The 25320-nt window shown below is 47.5% G+C and overlaps 1 protein-coding gene and 1 long non-coding RNA gene across 36 annotated transcripts in view, besides 6 other annotated features; one reads left to right on the forward strand and one right to left on the reverse strand.

The window, feature by feature from the left end:
- Positions 220 to 5379, reverse strand: LOC124903696 (uncharacterized). Its single transcript, XR_007065081.1, has 2 exons — positions 5249 to 5379; positions 220 to 4999 (listed from the first exon to the last, which is right to left on the reverse strand). It is a non-coding gene; the product is annotated as an uncharacterized LOC124903696 (long non-coding RNA).
- Positions 5343 to 5842: an enhancer, noted in NCBI's record as "H3K4me1 hESC enhancer chr16:57023277-57023776 (GRCh37/hg19 assembly coordinates)". NCBI's record gives its function as "activates a minimal SCP1, AML or CMV promoter by ChIP-STARR-seq in primed H9 embryonic stem cells {active_cell/tissue: H9 hESC(primed)}" and the evidence as "EXISTENCE:reporter gene assay evidence [ECO:0000049][PMID:30033119]".
- Positions 5420 to 5619: an enhancer, noted in NCBI's record as "active region_10868". NCBI's record gives its function as "activates an Ori minimal core promoter by ATAC-STARR-seq in GM12878 lymphoblastoid cells {active_cell/tissue: GM12878}" and the evidence as "EXISTENCE:reporter gene assay evidence [ECO:0000049][PMID:35858748]".
- The window catches only part of NLRC5 (NLR family CARD domain containing 5), a 93964-nt gene continuing 74178 nt past the window's right edge, over positions 5535 to 25320 (forward strand). For 21 of the 35 annotated variants that reach the window (NR_169512.1, NR_169516.1, NR_169513.1 and 18 more), the window contains exon 1: positions 5535 to 5573. The gene's annotated coding sequence lies outside the window, so the exon portion shown is untranslated. Of the gene's footprint in view, positions 5596 to 25320 lie in introns of all 35 variants that reach the window. The other 14 variants (NR_169520.1, NR_169518.1, NR_169517.1 and 11 more) reach the window with 1 other exon arrangement.
- Positions 7715 to 8009: an enhancer, noted in NCBI's record as "tiled region #12884; HepG2 Activating non-DNase unmatched - State 21:Repr, and K562 Activating DNase matched - State 8:EnhW". NCBI's record gives its function as "activates a minimal TATA promoter and a strong SV40 promoter by Sharpr-MPRA in HepG2 and K562 cells {active_cell/tissue: HepG2 | K562}" and the evidence as "EXISTENCE:reporter gene assay evidence [ECO:0000049][PMID:27701403]".
- Positions 15648 to 15747: an enhancer, noted in NCBI's record as "active region_10869". NCBI's record gives its function as "activates an Ori minimal core promoter by ATAC-STARR-seq in GM12878 lymphoblastoid cells {active_cell/tissue: GM12878}" and the evidence as "EXISTENCE:reporter gene assay evidence [ECO:0000049][PMID:35858748]".
- Positions 15813 to 16314: an enhancer, noted in NCBI's record as "H3K27ac hESC enhancer chr16:57033747-57034248 (GRCh37/hg19 assembly coordinates)". NCBI's record gives its function as "activates a minimal SCP1, AML or CMV promoter by ChIP-STARR-seq in primed H9 embryonic stem cells {active_cell/tissue: H9 hESC(primed)}" and the evidence as "EXISTENCE:reporter gene assay evidence [ECO:0000049][PMID:30033119]".
- Positions 17278 to 17337: an enhancer, noted in NCBI's record as "active region_10870". NCBI's record gives its function as "activates an Ori minimal core promoter by ATAC-STARR-seq in GM12878 lymphoblastoid cells {active_cell/tissue: GM12878}" and the evidence as "EXISTENCE:reporter gene assay evidence [ECO:0000049][PMID:35858748]".

Below are 25320 nucleotides of genomic sequence, written 5' to 3' on the forward strand. Positions count from 1 at the left end.
ATCAGGTCCCTGGATACCTTCCAAATTTATCCCCTTTAACCCAGCACTCTCCTTGTCTGACCAGCTTCCTGCAGGAGCTGTCACACACTCTCTGTCCCTTGGGGTTCCAGTGCTGGACAGAAAGTGAGGGAGGACCAGGGCTTCAGATCCTGAGGATGGTGGGAGGGGAAGGGGCCCTCAGAGGTCTGGTTTCTGGTAGAAATGGAGGAAGACAGAGCCTTTAAAAAGGCAAACGACTTTATTCCAGAAGATAAACTGCTCACGAGCCTGAGCTTATTTCCAGCTCACCTTTTTTTTTTTTTTTTTTTTTGAGACGGAGTCTCTCTGTGACCCAGGCTGGCATGCAGTGGCACAATCCCAGCTCACTGCAACCTCCACTTCCCAGGTTCAAGCAATTCTCCTGCCTCAGCCTCTCAAGTATTTAGGATTACAGGCACCCGCCACCACACCTAGCTAGTTTTTGTATTTTTAGTAGAGACGGGGTTTCACCATGTTGGCCAGGCTGGTCTCGAACTCCTGACCTGCAGTGATCCACCTGCCTCAACCCCCCAAAGTGCTCATGTTAAATATGGTGAACCCCAAGTTTTTCTTCAAAGAATCAGTATGTCTGTATGTTCAGCTCTCTTATTCTTTGATTCTCCATTTTAAAGTTTAACTTCCTGGTTCTCTTCGCCCCCTTGCTTCTAATTTCAGTAAACAACCTTTTCCATCAGTTTTATTCAGTAGTTCACACCTGTTCCCCTGGTCACTTGCTCCATCCTGACTCATCCCAGTCACCTGCTTTGACCTGAGTCACCCCTGGTCACCTGCTCTGATGTAAGTCACCTTTAGTTACCCGTTCCTAACTGTCCTTCCTGCCAAACTACTCACCTCGCCACTCTGGCTCATACCTCTGCTCTCTTTAAAATAGCCAATCGGAATTAGCTTAGACCGTGCGGTCCAACCTTAGCCAACAGGGGAACAACATAGCAGCAGGGATTACCTGGGTCAGGAATAAGAACCCCTTCCCCTCCCTTGTTCAACTGTGCTCTCACCATTGTTCCATCTATGAGGAGCACCCTTTCTACAGAAACTAAAAATTGCTTGCTGAGAAAATTAAATTTATGTTTGAGTGCTATTTCTTTGCAGCAGTGGAGAACAAGCATTCCTAACACTGGGATTGCAGGCATAAGCCACCGTGCCCAGCTTCCAGCTCACCTTCTTATGCTCAAATTGTGTCTTCTCCTTCCCACCCTCAAGCTACAATACAAAAAGTTTCTTCCAACCCTCTCAGTCTTGGAAGGTAGCAGGCTCTATTTTCTCTGGGTGTGTAAAGAAAATGCCTCTCCCACATTAGCCAATTGAGACGGGAGGAAGCGCAGCAAGATGCTGGCTAGTGCAAGGTCCCTGGGGTAGAAAGAATCATGATGGATTCAAGAACAGTCAAGAGGGCTGGTGTGGCCCTGAAAGCAAAGAACTAGGGGCGAGAGATGAGGCCCAACCAGCAGGCAGGGTCACATAACAAAGGTGATAAAAGGGCTTGGCCTTTATTTCAGCAGCCAGGAGAGACAGCCAGGAGGCTGGGGCTGTGGGGAGCTCAGAAGTAAGATGCCCCTTCCAGTCTGGGAATATGTGAGGGGAGGGCACCATCTTCTGAGCCAGGTTTCTTCCCAGCCCTTCCCTGCCCTTCCAAGTGCTTTCTGAGGCCTGTTTCTCTTCCTCCCCTGGGGCCTAATGCAAGTGTCTGACTCACTAAGCAGGAGCATCATGGGCGGGATGGGCGGCTCTTAAAGGGCCCTGGCAGAAGGAGTCAGTGTGATCTCGCCAGTCCCTGAGTCCAACGTGGGAATTCTGGGTCTTGGGATATTGGCCTTTGAGGTGGTGACACCAGTTAGGAGCCACATCCCACCCAAGAATGTCCCCTTGAAGAGGCTGGGAAGGCCCAAGGCCCCCACCTTGATGCTACAATGACAGAATCAGGATAACTTGGCAGCCCTAAGGCAGCTCTTCCTTGAATGGAAACTTTTATCTGCATGAGGGGCAGACAGAGAAGTCACTTGGAGTCTTAACCCTTGTAGACCCCAGCCTGACTGGGACTCCAGAAGGTCCCAGGGCTCTGCTCCAGAAAGAAGGGTAGGGGCATGCCCCCAGCTTCCTTCAGTGACCTTGGAGAGGTCTCCCCAGGGCTGAGCTGGGAGGCACTTCCATGTCACTGTCTCATCCAAGGAGTGCGATTAGCAGGAGATATGGAGTCCAGAGGGTGAGAGGCTTACCAAAATGGGACTGACCTCCGAGCCCCTCTCCCAAATTCCAGCCCCTCCATCCAAGCCTAGAAGCTCTGACCTAGTCCTATTGAAGTCCTCCTGGCCTGGGTGTGTGTTGGGGGGAATCCTGGCTCCAACCCAGTTAGGATCATTTCCATAAAGAAGGCCACACCTGCTGCTTCCTCTGGGGAAAAACAAGTGCTCCCCAAGGCCAGCACCAGGCAGAAGCACATCCTGCCACCTGGGCTGCTGACCTTGGGCAGGATGGGGCCCGGGTGTTTGGCAAATAGGAAGGGTAGAGGGAAGGCCTGGCTTTCAGACCTGGGTCTAATCCCAGCTCCCCCCAACCCCAGTTACTAATTCTGCCATCCTGGGGCCCCTCTGTGCCTCCATTTCCTCTTCTATTCAATGGGATGATAATACTTTCCATGTAGGATTCTGGCAAGGGCTGGGTTAGCCCAGAGGAGGAGCCCATGGTGGCCAAGAGCAGGGGCTGCAGAGCTGGCCTGCCTGGGTCCACCCTTCTGCTCCTCTGCTTCTGTGTGATCTTGGCCAAATTATTTAGCCTCTCTGTGCCTCCCTTTTCTCATCTGTAAAAAGAAAGATAACAGTTGCCATGAAGAGTAAAGGAGAGGCCGGGCATGGTGGCTCAGACCTGTAATTCCAGCACTTTGGGAGGCTGAGGCAGGGGTATCTCAGGAGTTCAAGACCAGCCTGGCCAACATGGTGACCCCCCCCATCTCTACTAAAAATACAAAAAAATTAGCTGAATATGGTGGTGTACACCTGTAGTCCCAGCTACTCTGGAGGCTGTGGCAGGAGAACTGCTTGAACCTGGGAAGTGGAGGTTGCAGTGAGCTGATATTGTGCCACTGCACTGCAGCCTGGGCGACAGAGTGAGACTGTCTTAAAAACAAACAAACAAAAAGATTAAAGGAGAGAGCGGCTGCATTTTGGGAGGCCAAGGCGGGCTGATTGCCTGAGCTCAGGAGTTGGAGACCAGCCTGGGCAACATGGTGAAACCCGGTCTCTACTAAAATATGTTTTTAAAAAAAATTAGCTGGGCATGCACCTGTAGTCCCAGCTACTCGGGAGGCTGAGGCAGGAGAATTGCTTGAACCGGAGAGGTGGAGGTTGCAGTGAGCTGAGATCATGCCAATGCACTCCAGCGTGGGTGACAGAGCAAGACTCCATCTCAAAAAAAAGGAGAGAGCACAGTGTCTGGTATATCCTAAGTGCTCCACGAGTGCCAGACATTGGTTATACTTCATGGAGGTGAGGTACACAGAGGTGTCTAGGTCATGCGGACTCACTCCATCCTCCAGTTAACCATGACTCCCTCCCCACCCACCTCCTGAGTTCTCTCTGCTGTCAAACTTTCCTCTCATATCTCCAGTTTCCCACCCAAAAGTCCAAACACTCAAGATTCCTTCTCATCTCCAACCCATAAAATCTGATCGGCTTCTCCACACTCAAGTGTAAATGACTGATGGCCATTTGATTGACACTGGAGGGGCTGGCACATTTTTAGCACATTTTTAGCCAAAGGTATGATGTGCTGATAGCGGACTCTCAGGCCACAAGCCAGTCTGAGGACAGGGAAAGTTTGAGGAGGTCACTCTTCCAGAACCCTTTGGTGATAACCTTTCTGGCAGGCCTGGTACCCCCAGAGTGAAAAGGGCTCCAGGGTCAAGACCCAGCTCTGCCCCTCATTGCTGTGTGACCTTCAGCAACTCACTTGATTTATCTGGACCTCAGCTTCTTCATCTGTCTAATGGGATAATAATCTTTGTCCTGCCCTCCTCACAGGGCTGTTCAGAATTAAATGCATCTGAAAATGATCTGCATTTGTGTCTTGGACTGTGGTTATTTGTTCAAGTGTCTGTCTACCCTGCCTGCACAGGGAGCGGGTCAGGGTCTTCCCTGGGACTTCATGCACAGGTCTTTCCTGGGACTTCATGTAGGACCAGCCATCCCGTCAGTGCTCAGTGAACATGAGCTGCTTCCCTGTGGGATGTCTGGGAGGTGAGTGGAAGGCCTTCCTAGCAGGCACATACTGGAACATAATCAATCCCTCCCATGCATACAGCTCACACCCACATTCTTATCCATTCCCACCATGCCCCTCAGTGGCCTGGGGAGACTAGGAATACCCCACTTGACAGATAAGGAAGCTGAGGCCAGGGGAGGTCAAGGCATTTGTCTGAGGTTGCACAACCAGGAGTGGTGAAGCTGGGAGTCACACACAAGGAATCACTGCAAAGTCTGTGTCCTTCCCACTCTGAGTAGGACTTGAACCAGGGATGTCCGATGCTGATGCTTGTGTCCTGACCACTACCTTGCAGCGTCCTCACCCACACCCACCCCAGGCCTGGGAGGCAGGGGAGCACCAGCGGTCTGGGAGTGAAAGTTGCTTCCCTGTGGGATGTCTGGGAGGTGGGTAGAAGGCCTTCCTAGCAGGCACAGCTGCCCACCGGATGAGTATGTCCAGGGGGAGAGGAGCCCCCTGTCCCAGGATGTGGGCAAAAACCTGGAGAAGCTGAAGCTGGACTTTGAGGATGGCCCCTGACTCCATCCTGGGACAGCCACCTCCCCTTCCTTCTGCCCCCTCCAGTCCCTCCTCTCCTTCCCTGCTCTCCCTCCTACCTCTTTCCATCTCCCCCTTTCTGCCTGTGATTCCTCCTGTGACTGGGGCAAGATCCTTCACCTCTGTCCTCCCTGAGCCTCAGTGGCTCACCTGGAACATAGGGTGATGCCTGCAGAAGTATTTTAGGGTTACTTTATGAGATAAATTGGTAGACTGTTTTTCCCGGGTCAGCCAGCCAGGGGTTCGGTGAATAGGAGCGAACGCTGCTGCCATTCCCTTCTCCCCTAGTTCATCCTGGAGGCTCTCCGCTCTCCCCCTGGTTCTAAGTCCCCTCCTCCTGCACCGTATCCCCCCTCCCATCCAACCCAGTCCCCACTGAGGCACTGAGACAGGGTCTTGGCCCAGGGTCCCCACCCACCTGAGCTCCGCATGTGAGCCGACCTTCACCCGCCTGCCTCAGTTTCCCGTCCACGAAAGGGGTGAGCGCCCCCACGTCTCCTGGGACTGTCCTTGGGTCCGATGCGGGGCTGTGGGGAGGTGCCAGGGTGTGGGCGCAGCAGGGAGCGGGTGTGTTAGGCCCCCGCCCATCCCGCGCCCGAGCCCCATCTGGCTCGGGCTGGCACCTCGAATCCACGTGATTTCTCGGCAGCAGCCGCCAGTTCCATGCACTGGCGGAGCAGCTCTAGGCGGCGGCTTCTACTTTCAGTTTCGTGCAGAGCGCGGAGGAGCCGCGAGCGCTGAGGGTGAGTGCCGGGAGCTCTGAGGGTGAGTGCCGGGCGTGCCGCGGGGCTGCGGGACCCGGGCTGGGGCGAGCGGAAGGGAGAGGATCGGGGTTCGAATTCTGCACGGAGAGGGGTGGAGGGGATGTCAGAGGCCCTGGAGCGGGAGGTGCGGGTGGCCGGGTGGCTGGCCGATGGATAGCTGGGTAAGCGGACAGGGCGCCAGTGGCCCGGCAGCGCGCACAGCATGCGCCCCGGCAGTTTGGAGGAAGAGTTGCCGGCCCGCAGAGGATGGCAGATGAGGGTCGCCTGGATGGGGGGACACAGTAAGCGGCTGTGCTCCCCTCCCTGCGCAGCTCCTGTCACCTACCGGATCCACCCACTCTCTCTGTCTTTTACTTTGCAACTTTTCATTGATTTTAAAACAATTACGGAAGTTACACTGTTCATTGTACGCAATTTAGACTTTTTGGCCTAAACAACTTTTTATTGTGGAAAATTCCAAACATATACAATAGTAGAAGGAATAGAATTAGGTTGAGCCTTCTGCACCTGCGGGTTTTCATATAATGAAGCCCCACCTATCCACGTTCAGCTTGGACAGTCACGACCCCAAGGCCACCTACTCACGACCCCAAGGCCACCTAGGTAGCCCAATCTCCACCGCTGGTTATTTTGAAACAAATGGCAGACAGCATAGCATCTCAACTGAGGTATTTCAGAATGTACTAAAAGATAAGGCATCTTTTAAAAACAAAACCACAGTACCACCAGCATACTACAAACATTTTAATAGTTATTCCTTAATGTCAAATCTCCAGATTATTTCTAAGGAACATTTAACCTCATAAGTGATAGGTGAATACGTGGGTGTTGTTTTGTTACTTGCTTTCTGCATTCCCATGTGGTTTTCGGTCACTATTCTCACCCAGAAAGCCAGGACCTGAAACTGGCTGGGGTGATCATTCGAGGAGGTCGGAAGAGGCTCCTACCTTCAGTGCCGTTTGCGTCCATTTTATAAGTTGGAGTTCTTATGTTTCCTTTTTTAAAAGGTTGAAGTTTCTGCAGACCTAAAAAGCAGTTTGAAAACTGGCAGTTCCCAGCCTCTAAAACCCGGGGGTAGCAGGAGGCAGAGAGTACCCCGGGGCCAGATCCTGGAGCCTCATTGTCCCTTCAAATCACCTTCCGTTTCTCTAAGGGAGAAATAAACCTTGAAAAGCCATGGGCTTTTCAGATGTATCTAGATGTATCTGATGCTTTTCAGGTGTATCTAGACTCCCATCCAGCGTGCTTTCTGCAAAACTTACTGAACCATAGCCCAGAATGGCCATCCATGATGCCCACCCGCCTTGTCTCCTGAAGCACATTGCCAGGTGGACCTGCACATGGTGTGGACGGCAGACAGACTGGGGCTCTCAACAACTGGTATTTGCTGGATGACCATGAACTAACCATTCAATTTCTCGAAACTTTGGTTTCTCGTCTGTAAAATGAACATATGCAAATCTATCCTACAAAGTGTGTTTTGTGGATTGAATGAGATGATACACGCCCACCCAGTGCCTTGATCAACCTTAAAATGCTGCACAAGTGTGAGGGGAGATGGATCCTTGAAGAAGACAGACAAGCAGAGGGGAAAGATCTTGGAAGAGTTTCACAATATGCTGAACTTTATTCCTGGATCAGATACAGAGCTGTCCGGGTGTCCACAGGGCCGGGTCAGCCTCCTCAGACCCCAACACACATACCCTCTTCCCCTCTGAGGAAAATTCAGCAAAACTTCTTTTGCTGTTGTTGTTCTTTATTCCTTTTTTTTTTTTTTTTTTTTTTGACGAAGTCTCACTCTGTTGCTCAGGCTGGAGTGTAGTGGCACGATCTTGGCTCACTGCAACCTCCATCTCCTGGGTTCAAGCGATTCTCCTGCCTCAGCCTCCCGAGTAGCTGGGATTATAGGCGCCCGCCGCTACACCCAGCTAATTTTTGTATTTTTAGTAGAGATGGGGTTTCACTATGTTCGCCAGGCTGGTGTCAAACTCCCAACCTCAGATGATCCACCCGCCTCGGCCTCCTGTGGGATTATAGGCGTGAGCCATCTTGCCCGGACTCCTTTTTTTTTTTTTTTTTTTTTTTAATAGACATGAGGTCTCAAACTCCTGGCCTCAAGTGATCAGTCTGCCTCTGCCTCCCAAAGTGTTGAGATTATGGGCGTGAGCCACCACACCCAGCCATAACTTCTTAGCATGACTTTTCCCATTTGTTATGAGTTCAATTGTGCCTCCCCACAAAAGATATGCTGAAGGCCTAACCCTCGGCGCCTCCTAACGTGACCTTATTTGGAAATAGGGCTGTTGCAGATATAACTGGTGAAGATGAGGTCATACTGGAGTAGGATGGGCCTTGAATCCAATAGGACCGGTGTCCTTATAAGAGAGGAGATGGACACATGAAGACAGAGACATACGGGGATCAGACAATCATGGACGGAGGAGGAAGAGAGTGCGGCGATGCATCTAGGAGCCACAGGACACCTAGAATGGCCAGCAGCCGGTGGGAACCAGGAGAGGCAAGGACGGATCCTCTCCTCCAGCCTTCAGAGGGAGCCCGGCCCTGACCACACCTCGATCTCAGACTCTGACCTCCAGAACTGCGAGAGAAGAAATCTCAGTTGTTTTAATGTACGCAGCTTGTGGCACTTTGTGACAGCAGATACAGCAGTACTGTGACAACACTAGGAAACGAATACACCATCCCAGCATCTCTGCTCTGTTTTCCATACAGAATTGAACTAAGGACCAGGCAAGCTAATGCAAGTCCAAACACTGTAAAAACTTTGGAGGCAATCTAAGGATGTGAGCCAGATTTGTTTGCCAGATCTTTTTTATTTTATTTATTTATTTATTTTATTTTATTTTTTTTTTTTAGTGAGAGGGAGTCTCACTCTGTTGCCTAGGCTGGAGTGCAGTGATATGATCTCGGCTCACAGCAACCTCCACCTCCCAGGTTTAAGTGATTCTCCTGCCTCAGCTTCCTGAGTAGCTGGGATTATAGGCACCTGCCCCCATGCCCAGCTAGTTTTTGTATTTTTAGTACAGACAGGATTTCACCATGTTGGCCAGGCTGGTCTTGAACTCCTGACCTCAGGTGATCCACCTGCCTTGGCCTCCCAAAATGCTAGGATTACAGGCATGAGCCACCAACACCCAGCCCATATATTCATATTTTTAATGGACTTATACATGAAAATGGTATCTCACTTTTAAAAATAAATGATATGGAATTATGCGTTAAAGGGAAATTAAATCTTATTATATCATGTTTTAAAATTTTTAATTTTTCATAGCTAATACATTTATGTAGTTTTAAAAATGTAAAACATTTGGAAAGATATAATGAAAAATAAGTCTCCTTCCATCTCCTGTCTCCCAGCCACCCAATTGCCCTCCCCGAAGACAACCAATGTTATCAGGTTCTTGTGTCTCCTTCCAAAGACAGTCTAAGTGTGTTTTTACAAACATGGATATATACATATATATATACACGTATATATGTGTATATATATATACACACACACACACACACACATATACACATATATAGACACACACACACATGTGTACTTTTCCCTTCTCACAAATGGCAGTGTACTATATGTAGTGTTCTCTAACTTGGGTTTTTTTTTTTTAAACTTAGTGCAATTTGGAAATCTTTCTACATCAAAATTTTAAAATCTGCCCTTTCCCTCTTTCTTTTTAACAGCTGCCTAGTATTTCACCGTATGACTGCTCTGTAATTGATCTAACAGTTGTAGAACACTTAGGTTATTTCCTGTCTTTTGCTATTTCAACAGTGCTGTAATGAATATCCTTGGTCAGGCATCATTTTTCATACGTGGGAGTGAATCTTTAAGAAAACCAGGAGTGGATTTGCAAGGTCAAGGGGAATATGCAGTTTGAACTTGGATAAATAAGGCAAATTATCCCCCCTTAAATGTTGTACTAATTTTTGCTCCCACCAGCTGGAGGGGGAGGGGCCAAATTTCCATATTTGCAAATCTGGGAGACGAACAATGGTGTGTTTTTTATGCCTCTTATTACGAATGAGTTTGAACATCTTTTCAAATATTTAAGAGTCACCTGTAGCTCATTTTCCATAAACTGTCAGTTCATATCCTTTGCCCACTTTTTTATTGGCTTTTGGTCTTTTTCCTGTTGAGTTGTAAAAGCACTTTTCATGTTAAGGGAATTTGCTCTTTGTCTATTATATGGTTATACTGTCATTTAAAATGGTGGCATAGTTGCTTATAGAATGTCTGAACCATATGCGTCATTGTTAGATATTTATATTGGGTCTCATTTTCTTGTATTATATATGGGATGTTTTCCCTGTTTTTTGTAAAAAAAAAAAAAAAAGCAAGATATGACATTTTAATTCTTCCAATAGTTCTCACCATAATGGTGAAGGAAAGGAAATACGTTTGGGAAAATACTTCGATAGGATTTGGGGTGGCTGGAACCTGTGTGCAAAATGGCCAACAGGGACCAGGACCATTTTGGGTGGGAAGAGAGTGCTTTGCATGGTGTATGTGTATGGGGCGGAGGGGCTGTATTTGCTCCTGAAAGAAAAGGGGGTGGAGGGAGGGGAGAAGAAAGGAAGGAGAGAAGGTGGAGGGAGGTTAGCCACAGAGGGAGATGACTCCCAGAAACTTCTTAGGGGAAGGATGGCAAAAGGGCATTTTCGGTGAGTCCAGGAATGCCCTCTGCTCCGTGTGAGGCAGGTACCAGCACTGCAGACACCGGCTCTGGCTCACCACCTGCCATCATGAGTGCATTCAGCTTCTCCACTGAGCTTCCACACACCAGGCCCTGCTCTAGGCACTGGGCTACAGCCGGGAACACAACCAACTCCCTGCCTTGTGGAGCTGATGAGGCAGTAGAAACAGACAAACAAGTAAACAAAGATGTGCATGTCATATGAGGTCAGGTGGAAGTGACTGCAGTGAAGAAGGCAAGGCAGGCGAGGGTGGAGCATGCTGGATAGAGAGGCAGATGTAGCCTTCTTGTAGGGATGTTGGGACATTTGAGAGAGAACTTGAAGGGAGCGTGGCAGGGAACCATGGGCCATGGCATCTGGAGGAAGAGGGAACCAGTCAGAGGGGATGGCAAGAAACAAAAAAGTGGGGAGAAGAAGAAAGCAGAGAAGAGGAGAGGAGGGAGAAGAGGAGAAAATGCTGCTTAAAGTCTGCTTTTGTGCTCCCAGATGCTCATTGTGAATGACATTTTTGCAATTTTTGCAATTTTGTTTTGTAATTTAATAATGGGCTGGGCTGGGCGCAGTGGCTCACGCCTGTAATTCCAGCACTTTGGGAGGCTGAGATGGGCAGATCACTTGAGGTCTGCAGTTTGAGACCAGCCTGGCCAACATGGAGAAGCCCCGTCTCTCCTAAAAATACAAAAATAGCCAGGTGTGGTGGCACGTGACTGTAATCTCAGCTACTCTGGAGGCTGAGGCAGGAGAATCGCTTGAACCTGAGAGGTGGAGGTTGTAGTGAGTTGAGATCGTGCCATGCTCTCCAGCCTGAGTTACAGAGGGAGACTCGGTCTCAAAAAAAGCAACAAACTGCTTGAATTAAAGCAGGAGCCCTCAGCTAGAGGAGTGCCCACCCACCTCCTCCCCAGGAATCGCAGAGCTCCCAGGAGAGGCCATAGCCTCCTATAGGTCATGGCATTGCAGGTGGGTTGGTGTCCCAGCTGGCTGTTTCTGTCTCAAGAAAGGAAGGGCTGCTCCCGCTGACATCCAGGCGTAAGCAACGCCCTGGTGAACATCCTCGTAGCTAGAGCTTTGCTCACATTCTGGATGGCTTCCTTAGGCTCAATCCTCAAAGTGGACTCCTAAAGGGATATATGAACTTTTATTTTTTAAATGTTTGAAACCGTGTTGTCAAATTTCTCTCCTAAAAGATTGTGCCAATGTAGAGAGGCTGCCGACCGCTGGAAGCTTCCCAATCCCCCAGCACCTATCCCTTGTGGGTGGGATGGATCCTGTACCATCGCCAGACCCTCAAGAACCCCTTGTCCTGCACGGTCCCTTCTGTCCCTCCTGGTGAAATGGAAGGAGCATGCATGCCTTGGGAAGCTGGTGCTTTGAGGCATTCAGATCTTACCGTGGCATCATGTTTGAAGAGAGAAATAGCTTGCTGTTTTGTGTGTCTCTCAATAGTCTTATTCACTGAGTTCTTGAAGGTGTCCTGTGTGTTTCTGGACTGCAGAATCCTTTTATTGAAATGGACAGGTCAGTGTTTTCCCAGAGAAAGACCTATCCAGTAGGAGTTCACAAGAGGATTTTAGGAGGTATGTGGAGAGGGCATCCGATTCCATTGAATCGTAAAGTGACAAATTTGTTCCCTTTTCAGTTCTTTTTCATTCTTCCAGACTAGTGAAAGAGAAAGCCTCAGTCAGGTGCTAACGCATCTGTAAACCTCTCACACTCTTGATATTTTCAGCAAGGGGAGGCCAGGCCTCCGGTCAGAGCCCTGGGTCTGCAGCAATACCCAGCTACAGTTCAACAGCATCATAGTGTTTTTTGTTTTCCTTGGCTTTCTTTCTTTCTTTTTTTTTCTAGACAAGGTCTCACTCTGTCACCCAGGCTGGAGTGCACTGGTTGCACAGCTCCGTGCATAGTTTCCTGCAGCCTCTATTTCCCAGGCTCAATCGATCCTCCTGCCTCAGCCTCCCAAGTAGATGGGACTACAGGTGCGCACCACCACACCTGGCTAATTGTTTTTTGTTTTTATTTTTGATAGAGACGAGGTCTCATTACGTTGCCCAGGCTGATCTCAAACTCCTGAGCTCAAGCAGTTTTCCTGCCTTAGCCTCCCAAAGTGCTGGGATTACAGGTGTGAGCCTCCATGCCCCACCCTTGAGTTTCTTTTCGATGATACCTTCAGTTCGTGGCAAGTGGTACTTCAAAAAATAAAGTTAAAAGTGACATGGTTTCTAGAAAAGCTTTAAGGAAATGGTGTTCTGGCTTTCAGATAAGTCAAAAAAAATCTCAAACATGAGTAAAGAGTTTTGGAAATTATACACTTACCCCTAGAGGGTGAGTTTGTGGGGGAAATTTCATAATGTATACTTCCAGAATATTTAGAACTTTCCAAATGAGTACAGGTTATGTTCGTAAACAGGAAAAATAATAAAGACATAATAAAATGATAATTTAGTTTTAAAAGACGACCATTTGTTGAAAGCAGTATTATATTTCAGTTAGGAAATGGCCTCTGGAATCAGCATAGATTTTATTGTTTTATTTATTTTGTTTTTGAGACAGTGTCTCACTCTGTTGCCCACACTGGAGTGCAGTAGTGTGATCACAGCCCACTGCAGCCTCAACTTCCTGGGCTCAGGTGATCCTTCTGCCTCAGCCTCCCAAATAGCTGGGACTATAGGTGCACACCACTATGCCAGGCTAATTTTTTTGCATTTTTTGTAAAGACAGATTTTCACCATGTTGCCCTGGCTGGTCTCGAACTTCCAGGTTCAAGCAATCTGCCTGTCTCGGCCTCCCAAAGTGTTGGAATTACAGGTGTGAGCCACTGTGCCCGGCCAGCATAGATTTTAAATCCACCTTTTGTTGCTTGACTTCTTGGAGCCTGTTTCTTCATCTATGAAATGCAGGAAACGTGCCTGGAAATATTGCTTGAGATTCTAATGGGGAGGTGCAGGTGGAATACTGTAGCCTGATGCCCAGCCTATGCCGGGAACTCAGTACATAACAGCCAATGAGCATTGGCTGCGGACTGGACATGTCCCCTCCTTGTGCTGTAGTATTAATGTCTCCAACCCTCACAGTGATCCTGTGAAGTAAATGTAAAATCACCACCCAGATGAGGAAAACAGTGGCACAGAGAGGTTAAGAAAACTGTCCAAGGTTGCACAGCACTAAAATGTTGAAATCAGGATTTAAACCCAGCCCTCCTGACCCCAGAGGATCTTTTTTCAAAAATTATGTTCTTTTATTTTATTTCGAGATGGGGGTCTTTCACAGTCACCCAGGCTGGAGTGCAGTCACAATATCACGGCTTACTGCGCCTCAACCTCCCAGGCTCAAGTGATCCTCCCACCTCTGTCCCCCAACCCCCAGTTGCTTAGGAGCACAGGCACACGACACCATGCCTGGCTAATTTTTGTACTTTTTGTAGAGATGGGGTTTCTCCATGTTGCCCAGGCTGGTCTCAAACTACTGGGCTCAAGCGATCCTCCTGCTTCAGCCTCCCAAAGTACTGGGATCACAGGTGTGAGCCACTATGCCCAGCATTAGAGGCTCTTTTAACAGCTCCACAATTCCCTGTGAGATGGGCTGCATACAAAGCATTACTCCTGCTTGACATATACACAAACCATGGCCCAAAGGGAGCTGGGACTTGTCCGGATGTCAGCCTCTAAGTCAGTTTTGGGTCAGTGAGACCCAAAACCAAGGCTCTAGCCGTCTAGCCCCTCCAACCTTTCTTCTGCCCCAGTTTTATGGGTTTGGCAATGTCTGCCAGGATGGGAGGGAGCAGTTCAGATGATCCAGTCTGGAGGCAAAATTCTGCTAAATTCAAAGGGCCCAGCCTCAAGTCACTGATGTCTTTTTTTTTTTTTTTTTACTTTAAAAAAATGTATTAATTCTAAACCACACAAGTAAGACACGAATCAGTCTTCCTTGCAGAAAGTTAAACTTTTTATACATAAAGCTGATATCTATTTTACTCACTGCTTCCAGCCCCATGCCTGTCCCCTCTCCTGCAGTAACCCCTATTTGATATGTTTCCAGAACTTTATCTAAACCTTCACATAATAAAAATAATTCTTATATAGGGCTTACTAACTTCCAAGCACTGCTTTAAGAGCTTTACATATTTAAGCCCCACAATAACTCTGTGAGGTAGGTGCTGCTCTTATCCCCATTTTACAGATGAGAACATTGAGGCCCAGAGAGGCTATGTAACTGGCCTGGCGTCACCCAGCCTGCAGTTGGTGGAAAGGTCAGTCCCAAATCTAGGCAGCCTTGCTCCGAAATTCATGCTCTTAGCCTCTAAGTTATAAAACATGCTATTATCGACCTGTGGGAAGAAACAGTATTGCTGTTTGTTGATGTGTATTTTGAGACAAGTGATATCATGTTGTGCATATCATTATACAATGTGTCTTGTTTATTCCATGATACATCTTGAAGATACAGCCACGTCAACAAAAAATAAGTCCCTTTCCTGTACATAATCCCACAGCGTGGTTACACCAAACTTTATTATGGCTGTCTAGGGTGTTTAAAGACCGCTGCTGGAATTTCTTTATCCAAGACTCTGTGTGTCTTAGCCCATTGGGGCTGCTGTAACAAAGTGCCAGAGACTGGCTGGATTCTAAACAATAGAAATTTATTTCTCACAGTTCTGGAGACTAAAGTCTGAGATCAGAGTGCCAGCATGGTCGGGTTCTGGCAAGAGCCCTTTTCCGGGTTGCCGATGGCGGACTTTTCATTGTATCCTCACATGGTGCAAAGCAGGCTAGAGCATTCTCTTGGGTCTCTTTTATAAGGGCATCAATCCCATTCACTACGGCTCCTCCCTCCTGACCTAATTACCTCCCCCAGACCCCAGCTCCTAATACCCTCCTATTAGGGGTTAGAGTTTCAACATGTGAATTTCAGGGGAGCACAAATATTCAGTCGATCACATTGTGTATTCTGGGCCCCAAGGCTGTCCATTTTGCTTTCTGCTGAGAAGTTTAGTGGTAAGGTCAAAGGGTAGAAGCGCAGTAAGATCTAGAAGTCACTGCTGATTTGCCCTACAAGATGGGCAAACCACTTCCCAGCCTGCAGCTCTGAGCCCTGGATCCAGGCCTTCTCTCCTTTATGTCTCGAGCTTACTCTGTCCCCTGCCTTACTTACCAAACCAAAGCAAGACTCCTCTGGGACATTCCTGCCAGGCCCCATGGCAAGGTTGGAGCTGAGGAGGGGACTTCCAAACCTTGGTTTTATTTTCACTTTGGCTTGGGTGTGCCAAGCCCTGGCAGAGCCACAGAGTTGGGGCACGAGGTGCCAAGAAACAGCTCCCAGTCTGAGGAAGGTGCTCTGCCCTGGGAAGGGGATAAAGCTGAGTGTTGGTTATGGGGAGACATCCTCAAGGTCTCCATCTAAATATGGTCAACTTGGTGGCCTTCCTGTCCCCAGGGCCTTTGGGGCTCTCAGAGGACAAGAATCACTCAGCTCTGATTTGCTGGAGAAGCAGAGCCCCAGGTGGGAGGTAGCGAGGAGCCTGTCTCTCCCCACTGGGAGTGGAGAGCTGGGTGCCACAGCCTCAAACAGTTGTTCCCAGACATCGGCACATGGGGAACCCCCCGGGAGCTTCCAAAAGTGCCAGTGCCTGCGTTCTACCTCCTGGGATGGTGCTGTGATGGGTCTGGAGTGTGGCCCATTGGGATTTTTTAAAGACCCTCTTCCCAGGTGATGCCGTCGTGCAGACAAGCATGGGAACCACTGGCCTGGAAGCCCCAGGGAGAGGCCTCTGGGGCCCGGGACACGCAAGCGGGAGCCTTCTCCTAGCAGCCTTGCTAGCCACCCACCCCTTCCTGTGGGTGCTAGACCCAAACTGCCAGGGCTGAGCAGGAGAAGCAAGGCCACCAGCTGGCCACCTGCTGTCCCAGCCAGGCTCAGGCTGGCAGTAGGGCACCCCAGTCCTGGAGGAGGGTGCATCTGGAAAGCTTGGGGGCTCTTGGTGGAAAGTTCAAGCCTTTAGCATAGGAAGGTGGCTGGGGTGAAGGAGGCAGTTTAAAGACTAGTGATGTGGGCTGGGACCCAGATTGCTGGGTTTCCAATGACCAGAAGAAGATGGCCTTGTTGGACTGGGGACAGGGACCACCCAGGCTCAGGCCTGAGGCTGGGAGTGCAGGCATGAATTTGAGTGCAGGCTCAGGAACATCCCCAGGGCCGCCAGGCAGGGAGACACCTCTTCAACTCCTGGCTCCTCGACTCTAGCTGGTGACCTAGGCAGGTCCCTTTCCCACTGTGAGCCTCAATTTCCTCATGTGTAAAGCATCATGACTGTGTGTTTTAAGTCCTTTAGGGCCCTATCTTTGTGAGGGACAACAGAGACGATGGTTTTCACAGGCAACAGTCACCCCTGCATCATCACTGACTCACAGAAATGGATATGCCCTATAAGGACATCTCTTGCTTGCCCTGCCAGCATTTGTGGGCGGGGGAGGAAATGGCCACTAACCATTCCTGAAGGCACCTCCCAAGGGACCCCTGAAAGGAGGGTGACGCCTCCCAGAAAGAGACCAGTGGCCCAGCCCAGCCCTGCTCTTAGTTTTGTTTCCTCTGCTTTGAATGCCAGCAAGGCCTTTCCCTCCCAGGGCCTCAGTTTCCCCATCTTTACAATGGGCACAGCATAGACCCCATCACTGGGGCTCTTTCTGCTCTGCCACCCTGTGCATCCAGGCTCAGGTGTTATCCGAAGCCCTGACATCATCAGCCATTCCCGGGGGGAAGGCAGAGGCGCTGGGTTCTCTGTGTCCCCCTGGTAGGGCTTGGTGTAGGATTCAGGGAGGATTGGAGGGCCTCTGTGGCCTCAGGTCCTCCCCCAGGGTCCCCAGGCCCTGACCTGTCCACCTGGACCTAAAGAACCAACAACAGCAGCACTTTCTGTTTCTTTGAGGTATTTCTGTCCAAATGTCTGTAGTCATGACTGGGGTGCCTGGCTATCACCCCACAAACTGCATCCTTTCTGATCTGCACAGATGAGAAAACTGAGGTCTTGTTTCCCCTCCATCCCAAGACCTAATGGGACCTCCTCCTTAATCTAATCCTCAAGAGGCAGAAACAGGATGGAAAGCAAAGGAATGGCAGCCAGAAGTCTGTGGCTCCACTCCTGTCCTCTCTGCATCCCTCACTTCCTTCCTTACACCAGGCGTCAGGGGCTGGAGAGACGGAAGAAGCGATAGCAACGACAACCACACTAGTGGTAATCATAGCTTGTGTGGATTGAACCTTTTTTTTATTTTTCATTTTTAATTTTTGTGGGTACATAGTAGGTGTATATATTTATGGGTTACATGAGATGTTTTGATATAGGCGTCCAGTGTGTAATCACATCAGGGTAAATGGGGTTTCCATCACCTCAAGCATTTATCCTTTGTGTTGCAAACAATTCAATTATACTTTTTGTTATTTTTAAATGTACAGTTAAATTATTACTGACTATAGTTACCCTCTTGTGCTATTGAATACTAGGTTTTATTCATTCTAACTATTTTTTGTACCCACTAACCATCCCCACCTCCCCCACCCTGGCCTCCTACTATACTTCCCATCCTCTGGTAACCATCCTTCTACTCTCTATCTCCATGACTTAAATTGTTTTGATTTTTAGATCCCACAAATAAGTGAGAACAAGTGATGTGTGTCTTTCTGTACCTGGCTTATTTCACTTAACATAATGGCCTCCAGTGCCATCCATGTCCTTGCAAATGATGGGATCTCATTCTTTTTGATGGCTGAATAGTACTCCATTTTGTATGTGTGCCACATTTTCTTTTACTCTTTTATTCTTTTCTTTCTTTCGAGATGGACTCTTGCTCTGTCACCCAGGCTGGAGTGCAGTGGCACGATCTTGGCTCACTGCAACCTCTGCTTCCCAGGTTCAAGCAATTCTCCTGCCTCAGCCTCCCAAGTAGCTGGGATTACAGGCATGCCCCACCATGCCCTGTTAATTTTTGTACTTTTAGTAGAGGAGGGGTTTTGCCATGTTAGCCAGGTTGGTCTCCAATGCCTGACCTCAGGTGATCCACCTGCCTCAGCCTCCCACAGTGCTGGAATTACAGGCGTGAGCTGCCGTGCCCAGCTGCCACATTTTCTCTGTTCATTCATCTGTCGATGAACACTTAGATTAATTCCAAATCTTGGCTATTGTAAACAGTGCTGTCATAAACATAGTAGTGCAGATATCTCTTTGAGACACTGATTCCTTTCTTTTGGGTATATACCTAGCAGTGGGATTGCTGGATCATATGGTAGCTCTAAATTTAGTTTAGTTTTTTTTTGTTTTTTTTTTTTTTTTGAGACAGAGTCTCACTCTGTCTCAAGGCTGGAGTGCAGTGCGTGATCTCAGTTCACTGCAACCTCTGCCTCCTGGGTTCAAGCGATTCTCCTGCCTCAGCCTCCCAAGTAGCTGGGACTACAGGCATGGGGCGCCACTACGCCCAGCTAATTTTTGTATTTTTAGTAGAGACAGGGTTTCACCATGTTGGCGAGGATGGTCTCAATCTCTTGACCTCATGATCTGCCCACCTCGGCCTCCCAAAGTGCTGGGATTATAGGTGTGAGCCTCCGTGCCCAGCCCTATTTTTAGTTTTTTGAGGTACCTCCGAACTGTCCTGTAGTGGCTGTACTAATTTACATTCCCACCAGTGTATGAGGTCTCCCTTTTCTCCACATAGATTGAGGTGTTTGTTTGTTTGTTTGTTTGTTTGTTTGGAGATGAAGTCTCGCTCTGTCGCCCAGACTGGAGTGCAGTGGCGTGATCTCAGCTCACTGCCGCCTCCGTCTCTTGGGTTCAAGCTATTCTCCCACCTCAGCCTGGGATTACAGGCGCCTGCCACCACGCCTGGCTAATTTTTTTTATTTTAAGTAGAGACGAGGTTTCCTCATGTTGCCCAGGCTGCTCTCAAACTCCGGACCTCAGGTGATCTGCCTGCCTCAGCCTTCCAAAGTGCTGGGATTACAGGCTTGAGCCACCATGCCCAGCCTGGATTGAGTTTGTATCATGTGCCAGGTTCCATGTCAGGGATTCCACATGCCCCATCCCACAACCATCTTGCCAGGTGGGCATTATGATGACCCCCCATAGCAGACACTGTCAGAGCTCCCCCAACCCCATCTCTGCCCGGATGCCCCCACTCACTGTGGGTGACACCTGCATCCTTCTTCCGGGGTCGCCTTTGCCTGGTGGGCATTGCCTTGCTCAGAGATGCCTGGGCAGTCATGCCTCCCTCCCCCGCCCACTGGGGGTGCAGTGACGTGAAGTGTGACCGACCACCCAGACCCCTTGCACATGCGCAGGATGGACCTCTTCTATCATCACGCTCCAGTTCTCCCATGTGGCAGGCTGAAGCGAGGCTTTTGAAACCATATCTTTGCTCAGCTGCCTCTGCTACCCTATCTTTCTTCCACCACCCCCTCAATAAACAACTTCCACAGGAACCCCCTTGGGCTCTGCTTCTAGGGACCTGACCTAGAAGATCCTCATTTTACAGATGAGGACGCTGAGGTACGAAGAGGCTGCGTAACCTACCAGGGTCACACAGCTTTGGTGTGGAGTAGGGACTCAAATCCAGGGCCCTGGTACGGAGGCATTTGCCCTCACCAAGATTCAGGCACTGAGAGAAGCTGACGGGCCTAGAGAATGGCAAGACTTGAGATAGCAGAAGGAAGGAGAGAGGGTGAGAAATGGATCCCCGTGCTGAGGTCTGGTCTGGAAGGAGAAGTCTGCAAGGTAGGAAAAAGAGGAAAGGGGACGTGAGGTAGGGAAGCAGGATGTGCAAGGCGGGGACTTGTGAAAGAGAATGCCGGGGGGTGGTGAGCAGCATCTCATGGGCAGGTCAGCAGGTGCAGGAGAGGCCTAGGAGGGCCGGGGACTGGATGATGAAAGGGCATTTGTTTATTTATCCTTTGTTTTTGTTTTTTGTTGTTTAAATTGAGACCAGCTCTCACAATGTTGCCCAGGCTCGTCTCGCCAACTGTCTGCCCACTCCTGGCCTCAAACGATCTTCCTGCCTCAGCCTCCAAAAGTGTTGGGATTACAGGCATAAGCCAATGTTTATTCGTCCTGAGCCTTCCCTGGACACCTGATATGTAGCTGCTTTGTGGTGGTCACAGTTCCATGGTGTGACTTTATCCTGGAGGCAGTGGGATGCTGATAGCAAGTTCAGACAGGCATGAGGCCAGACCAGAGCTGAGTTTTCAAGATAACTCCAGCCAGAGGTATGCGTGCATGTGCACATGTGGGTACATGTATGTGTGTGCACGTGCATGTGTGTATGAGTGTGGACTAGAGATGGAATGGCTTTCTGAGCAAAGGGAACAGCCAAGGCAAAGGCCTGTGGGCTGCAGGGAGAGAACAAGGTTTGATCTCTGCACTCCCTCCTCTAAGCTCTGTGTCAACAGCATTTTCAGGACAGCAGGAAGGATTCCCAAAGAGCACAGCAGCGAGGGCAGTTGGAGGGAGGCGTCTGCTGGGACACTGAAACCAGGGTGGGGTAAACTCCCCTCGCACCTCCTCAGACTCAGAGCCCCCATAAATCTTCCAGGTGCACCCCAGCCCTTTTCCCTCTCTCTGTCTGAACTGGGGTGGCATGATCCCAGGACTGCAACTCCACGTGTCTGGATTCCCCTTACTGACTGCGTGACCCTGGCCATTTTCCCTCCACCTTTCTCTCAGCGCCCCCATTTGATTACTCGGCCTCAGGGGTGCACTGGGGATTCTTAGAGGTAACACTTCGAACGGAAAGCCAGAGGTCCTGGTGCCAAAATGCAAATGTGAGGGCTTGAAAGTTCATCGGGTTTTATTTTCTCTGTTCCGTTTGCAGTAGCTCTTCTTTCTTGTTTTCTATAGAACAGTAAAAAACTTTATGCATTTGAATATCGTGAACCTTGTAATTCATATGCAATATAAAAACTACTAGCTATGCATGGAGAAATCAATTGAAGAACAGTGGCTTAGCATGTCTTTCTCATTCTTTGATGGCTACCTCAAATCAAATCAATATGAACTTGGGGTCAGGCATGGTGGCTCACACCTGTAATCCCAACACTTGGGGAGGCCAAGGCAGGAGGATCACTTGAGCGCAGGAATTTGAGACTAGCTTGGGCAACATAGCGGGACCTCATCTTAATATTAAAAAAAAAAAAAAGAGAAAGAAAAAAAGTGAACTTGGGAGGTTTGAATGACAACTCGTATAGCTGAAGTAATAGATATATTCAACTTTTAAAACTTAATTTTCATTAGATAACACATGCATATGGTATAACATTCTAGGCCAGGTGCAGTGGCTCACATCTGTAATCCCAGCACTTTGGGAGGCCAAGGTGGGCAGATTGCTTGAGCCCAGGAGTTGAAGTCTAGCTTGGGCAAGATGGCAAAACCCCATCTCTGCAAAAAACACAAAAAATTAGCTAGGTGTGGTGGTGTGCACTTGTAGTCCCAGCTACTCAGGAAGCTGAGGTCGGGGAATCATATAAGCCCAGGAGGTGGAGACTGCAGTGAGCCACGACCACACCACTGCACTCCAGCCTGGGTGACAGAGCAATACCCTGTCTCAAAAAAAAAAGGAAAAAAAATTCCTTTCACTGGGGACAATTACCTTTATGAATTTCTTCCAGAAATATTAATGTATTTGTATACACATTTTTTTTTGAGACAGGGTCTCACTCTGTCACCCAGGCTGGAGTGCAGGGATGCAATCTTGGCTCACTGCAGCCTGGATACCCCCAGGCTCAAGCAATCCTCCCACCTCAACCTTGCGGGTAGCTTGGACAACATGTGTGCACCACCACTCCTGGCTAATTTTTGTATTTTTTGTCAAGATGGGGTTTTGCCATGTTACCCAGGCTCGTCTCAAACTCCTGACCTCAAGTGATCTGCCCGCCTTTGCCCCTCAAAGTGCTGGGATTACAGGCATGAGCCACCATATTTATTTTTTCTTTACACAAAGGAAGCATATTCTACACCCTGTTTTGCCCCGGCTCTCTTTTAAAAAACAGTGTATCTTGGATACCATTCCATATCATTCCATAAAGTTCATCTTCATCCTCTTTTTTTTTTTTTTTTTTTTTTTGAGACAGGGTTTCACTCTGTCGCCCAGGCTGGGGTGCAGTGGCACTATCTCAGCTTACCTCAACCTCCCGGGCTCAAGTGATCCTCCCACCTCAGCCTCCTGAGTGGCTGGATGCTGCTTCTTTCTTTTTGATGGCTGCAAAGAATTCCATTGTATAGATGTGCCATAATTTAATCATAATATGTCCTCTTTGATCATTTAGGTTTTTCCAATCTTTTGCTATTACAAGCAAGGCCACGTTAAATATCCCTGGGCATATTATTTTGCACATTATGAAGATATCTGTAGGCTAAATACCTGTGTATGGAATTGCTCAGTGTGATTACATGGCATTTACCACTTTGGTAGATAAAGGTTGTATCCTGTTACATGTCCACGGATGAATTTCTTCCAGAAATATTCATGTATTTGTATACACATTTTTTGAGACAGGGTCACAAAACCGTTAACACATTATTATTATTATTATTATTATTATTATTTCACATTATTTAGGGAAGTTTCATTTTTTTGTGAGCTATCACTGATAATTTCTTATTTACTCATCATCTTGTATTTCTCTTCCTTGCACATTGGGGAAATGTCTATTCTAGTTTTTAATGTAAATGTTCTTGTGGCTTTTTTAGAAAAAATCAAAATGTGCACATTAAAAAGTTTGAATGGTTCAAAAGGTCCTAAAAAGGGTCCACAGTGGAAAAGGCTCTCCTTTCCCAGCAGGCCCAGATCCCTCCTCAGACACAAGCCTGTCGTCAGTTTCCTGTGTAGCTTCCCAGAGTTGGTCACTATGTATGCAAATACACACACATTTAAAATATACACACTCCACGTCCACGTGGAATGATGCAAAGCATCTAAGTGCCCGTTAATTCACAACCTTGCCAACTCAGTAATATCCTTGCGAATCTAATAGCTAGAAAATGGTGTATCTTTTTAGTTCTAATGTATTATATTTATTCTATTTTCTGTGAGCTTGAACATCTTTTCATATATTTAAAAGTCATTGGGGCCAGGGGTGGTGGCTCATGCCTGTAACCCCAGCACTTTGGGAGGCCGAGGCAGGTAGATCACCTGAGGTCAGAAGTTCGAGACCAGCCTGGTCAACATGGTGAAACTCAGTCTCTATTAAAAATACAAAAAAAAAAAATTAATCAGGCATGGTGGCTCGTGCCTGTAATCCCAGCTATTGGGAGGCTGAGGCAGAAGAATTGCTTGAACTGGGGAGGTGGAAGTTGCAGTGAGTGGAGATCGTGCCACTGTACTCCAGCCTGGGCAACAGAGTGAGACTCTGTCTCAAAAAAAAATTTTTAAATGTCATTGGTGTTTCCCTTTTTTGTAAACCTTTTATGTTCTTTGCCTAGTTTTCTATGAGGTCATTGGCTTTTTCAGTGTTGGTTTTTAGTAACTCTCGATTTATTAAAACATTTATACATTTATAGCTTTGTTTATGATGTATACATTTATAACCTTGTCTGTGATGCAGATATTTTTCCAATTTGTCATCTGGCTTTTGACCTTATCTGTGGTATTCTTTGACAATACAAAAATTTTAATTTATATCTGATCAGTTTCATCCAGTTGTTTTTTTCTTTTTTCATGATTTCTGAGTTTTGTGTCATGCTTAGCAAGATGCTCTCTACTCTGAAATTATTTTCTGTAAAATATTTTTTTCAGCCAGGCATAGTGGCTCACACCTGCAATCCCAGAACTTTGGGAGGTAGAGGTGGAAGGATTATTTGAGTCCAGGAGTTCAAGGCCAGCCTGGGCAACAGAGCAAGACCCCGCCTCTATTTTTTAAAAGAGAAATTTTTTTAAAATACTTTTTCCCATGTTTTGTTTGAGCACTTACATTTTCTTAACTTTTTTGTCGTGAAACATAACACATAGAAAAATGTAATGTAAGTGTACAACTTCATGAATTGTTATAAATTGAACATATAGCTTTCTGGTACTTTCATGGTTTAACTTCTTACATTTAAATTTTGGTTTCATCTAGACTTTATTTTGATATAATTGTGAAATAGAAATCCATTTTTATTCTAAAAGAACACTTTTTAAATGTTCATGAAATGTTTTAAAATTTATTATATACCAAGCAAGAAAAAATCTCAACATAGTCCTCAAAGCAGAAATTGCACAGGACTTATTCTTTGTACAGTGTAATGCACAAAAACTAATAAGAAAGCCTTAAAAACAACCCTTTATTAAATTACTCCATTCCAAATTATAATTTCAATCTACTTAGCACATAAGTATTGATATACATTTATCGAAATTGGCCAAAAGTGTTTTATTATTTTTTAAAAGAAAAAGCCTAGCAATGGCTTAAGCAATAAAGTTTTTAATTTTAAAGAATAACAAACAGCCTCACTAAATCAGAGGAAAGAAATAAAAAGATAAAAGCAAAAATTACAGAACTAGAAAAGGGACCATTCCAGCAAAATTGATAAATGAAAACAAAAATTTGTTTTTCAAACATAAGAGTTACCAACGGCTGGTGAATCTAAAAAGAAGAAAAAACAAAGTAAACTAAATTAAATGTGAAGCCATGAAGAGATTTAAAATTATAAGAAAATAGGCCGTGCACGGTGGCTCACGCCTGTAATCCCAGCACTTTGGGAGGCCGAGGTGGGTGGATCATGAGGTCAGGAGCTTGAGACCCGCCTGGCCAACATGGTGAAACCCCGTCTCTACCAAAAATACAAAAATTAGCTGGCTGTGGTAGCATGAGCCTGTAGTCCCAGCTACTTAGGAGGCTGAGGCGGGAGAATCACTTGAACCCAAGAGGTGGAGGTTGCAGTGAGCCGAGACCTTGCCATTGCTCTCCAGCCTGGGTGGCAGAGTGAGATTCCGTCTCAAAAAATAAATAAATAAATAAAGCTGGGCGCAGTGGCTCATGCCTCTAATCA

This window comes from Homo sapiens, chromosome 16, assembly GCF_000001405.40.
Source record: "Homo sapiens chromosome 16, GRCh38.p14 Primary Assembly".
NCBI lineage: Eukaryota > Metazoa > Chordata > Mammalia > Primates > Hominidae > Homo > Homo sapiens.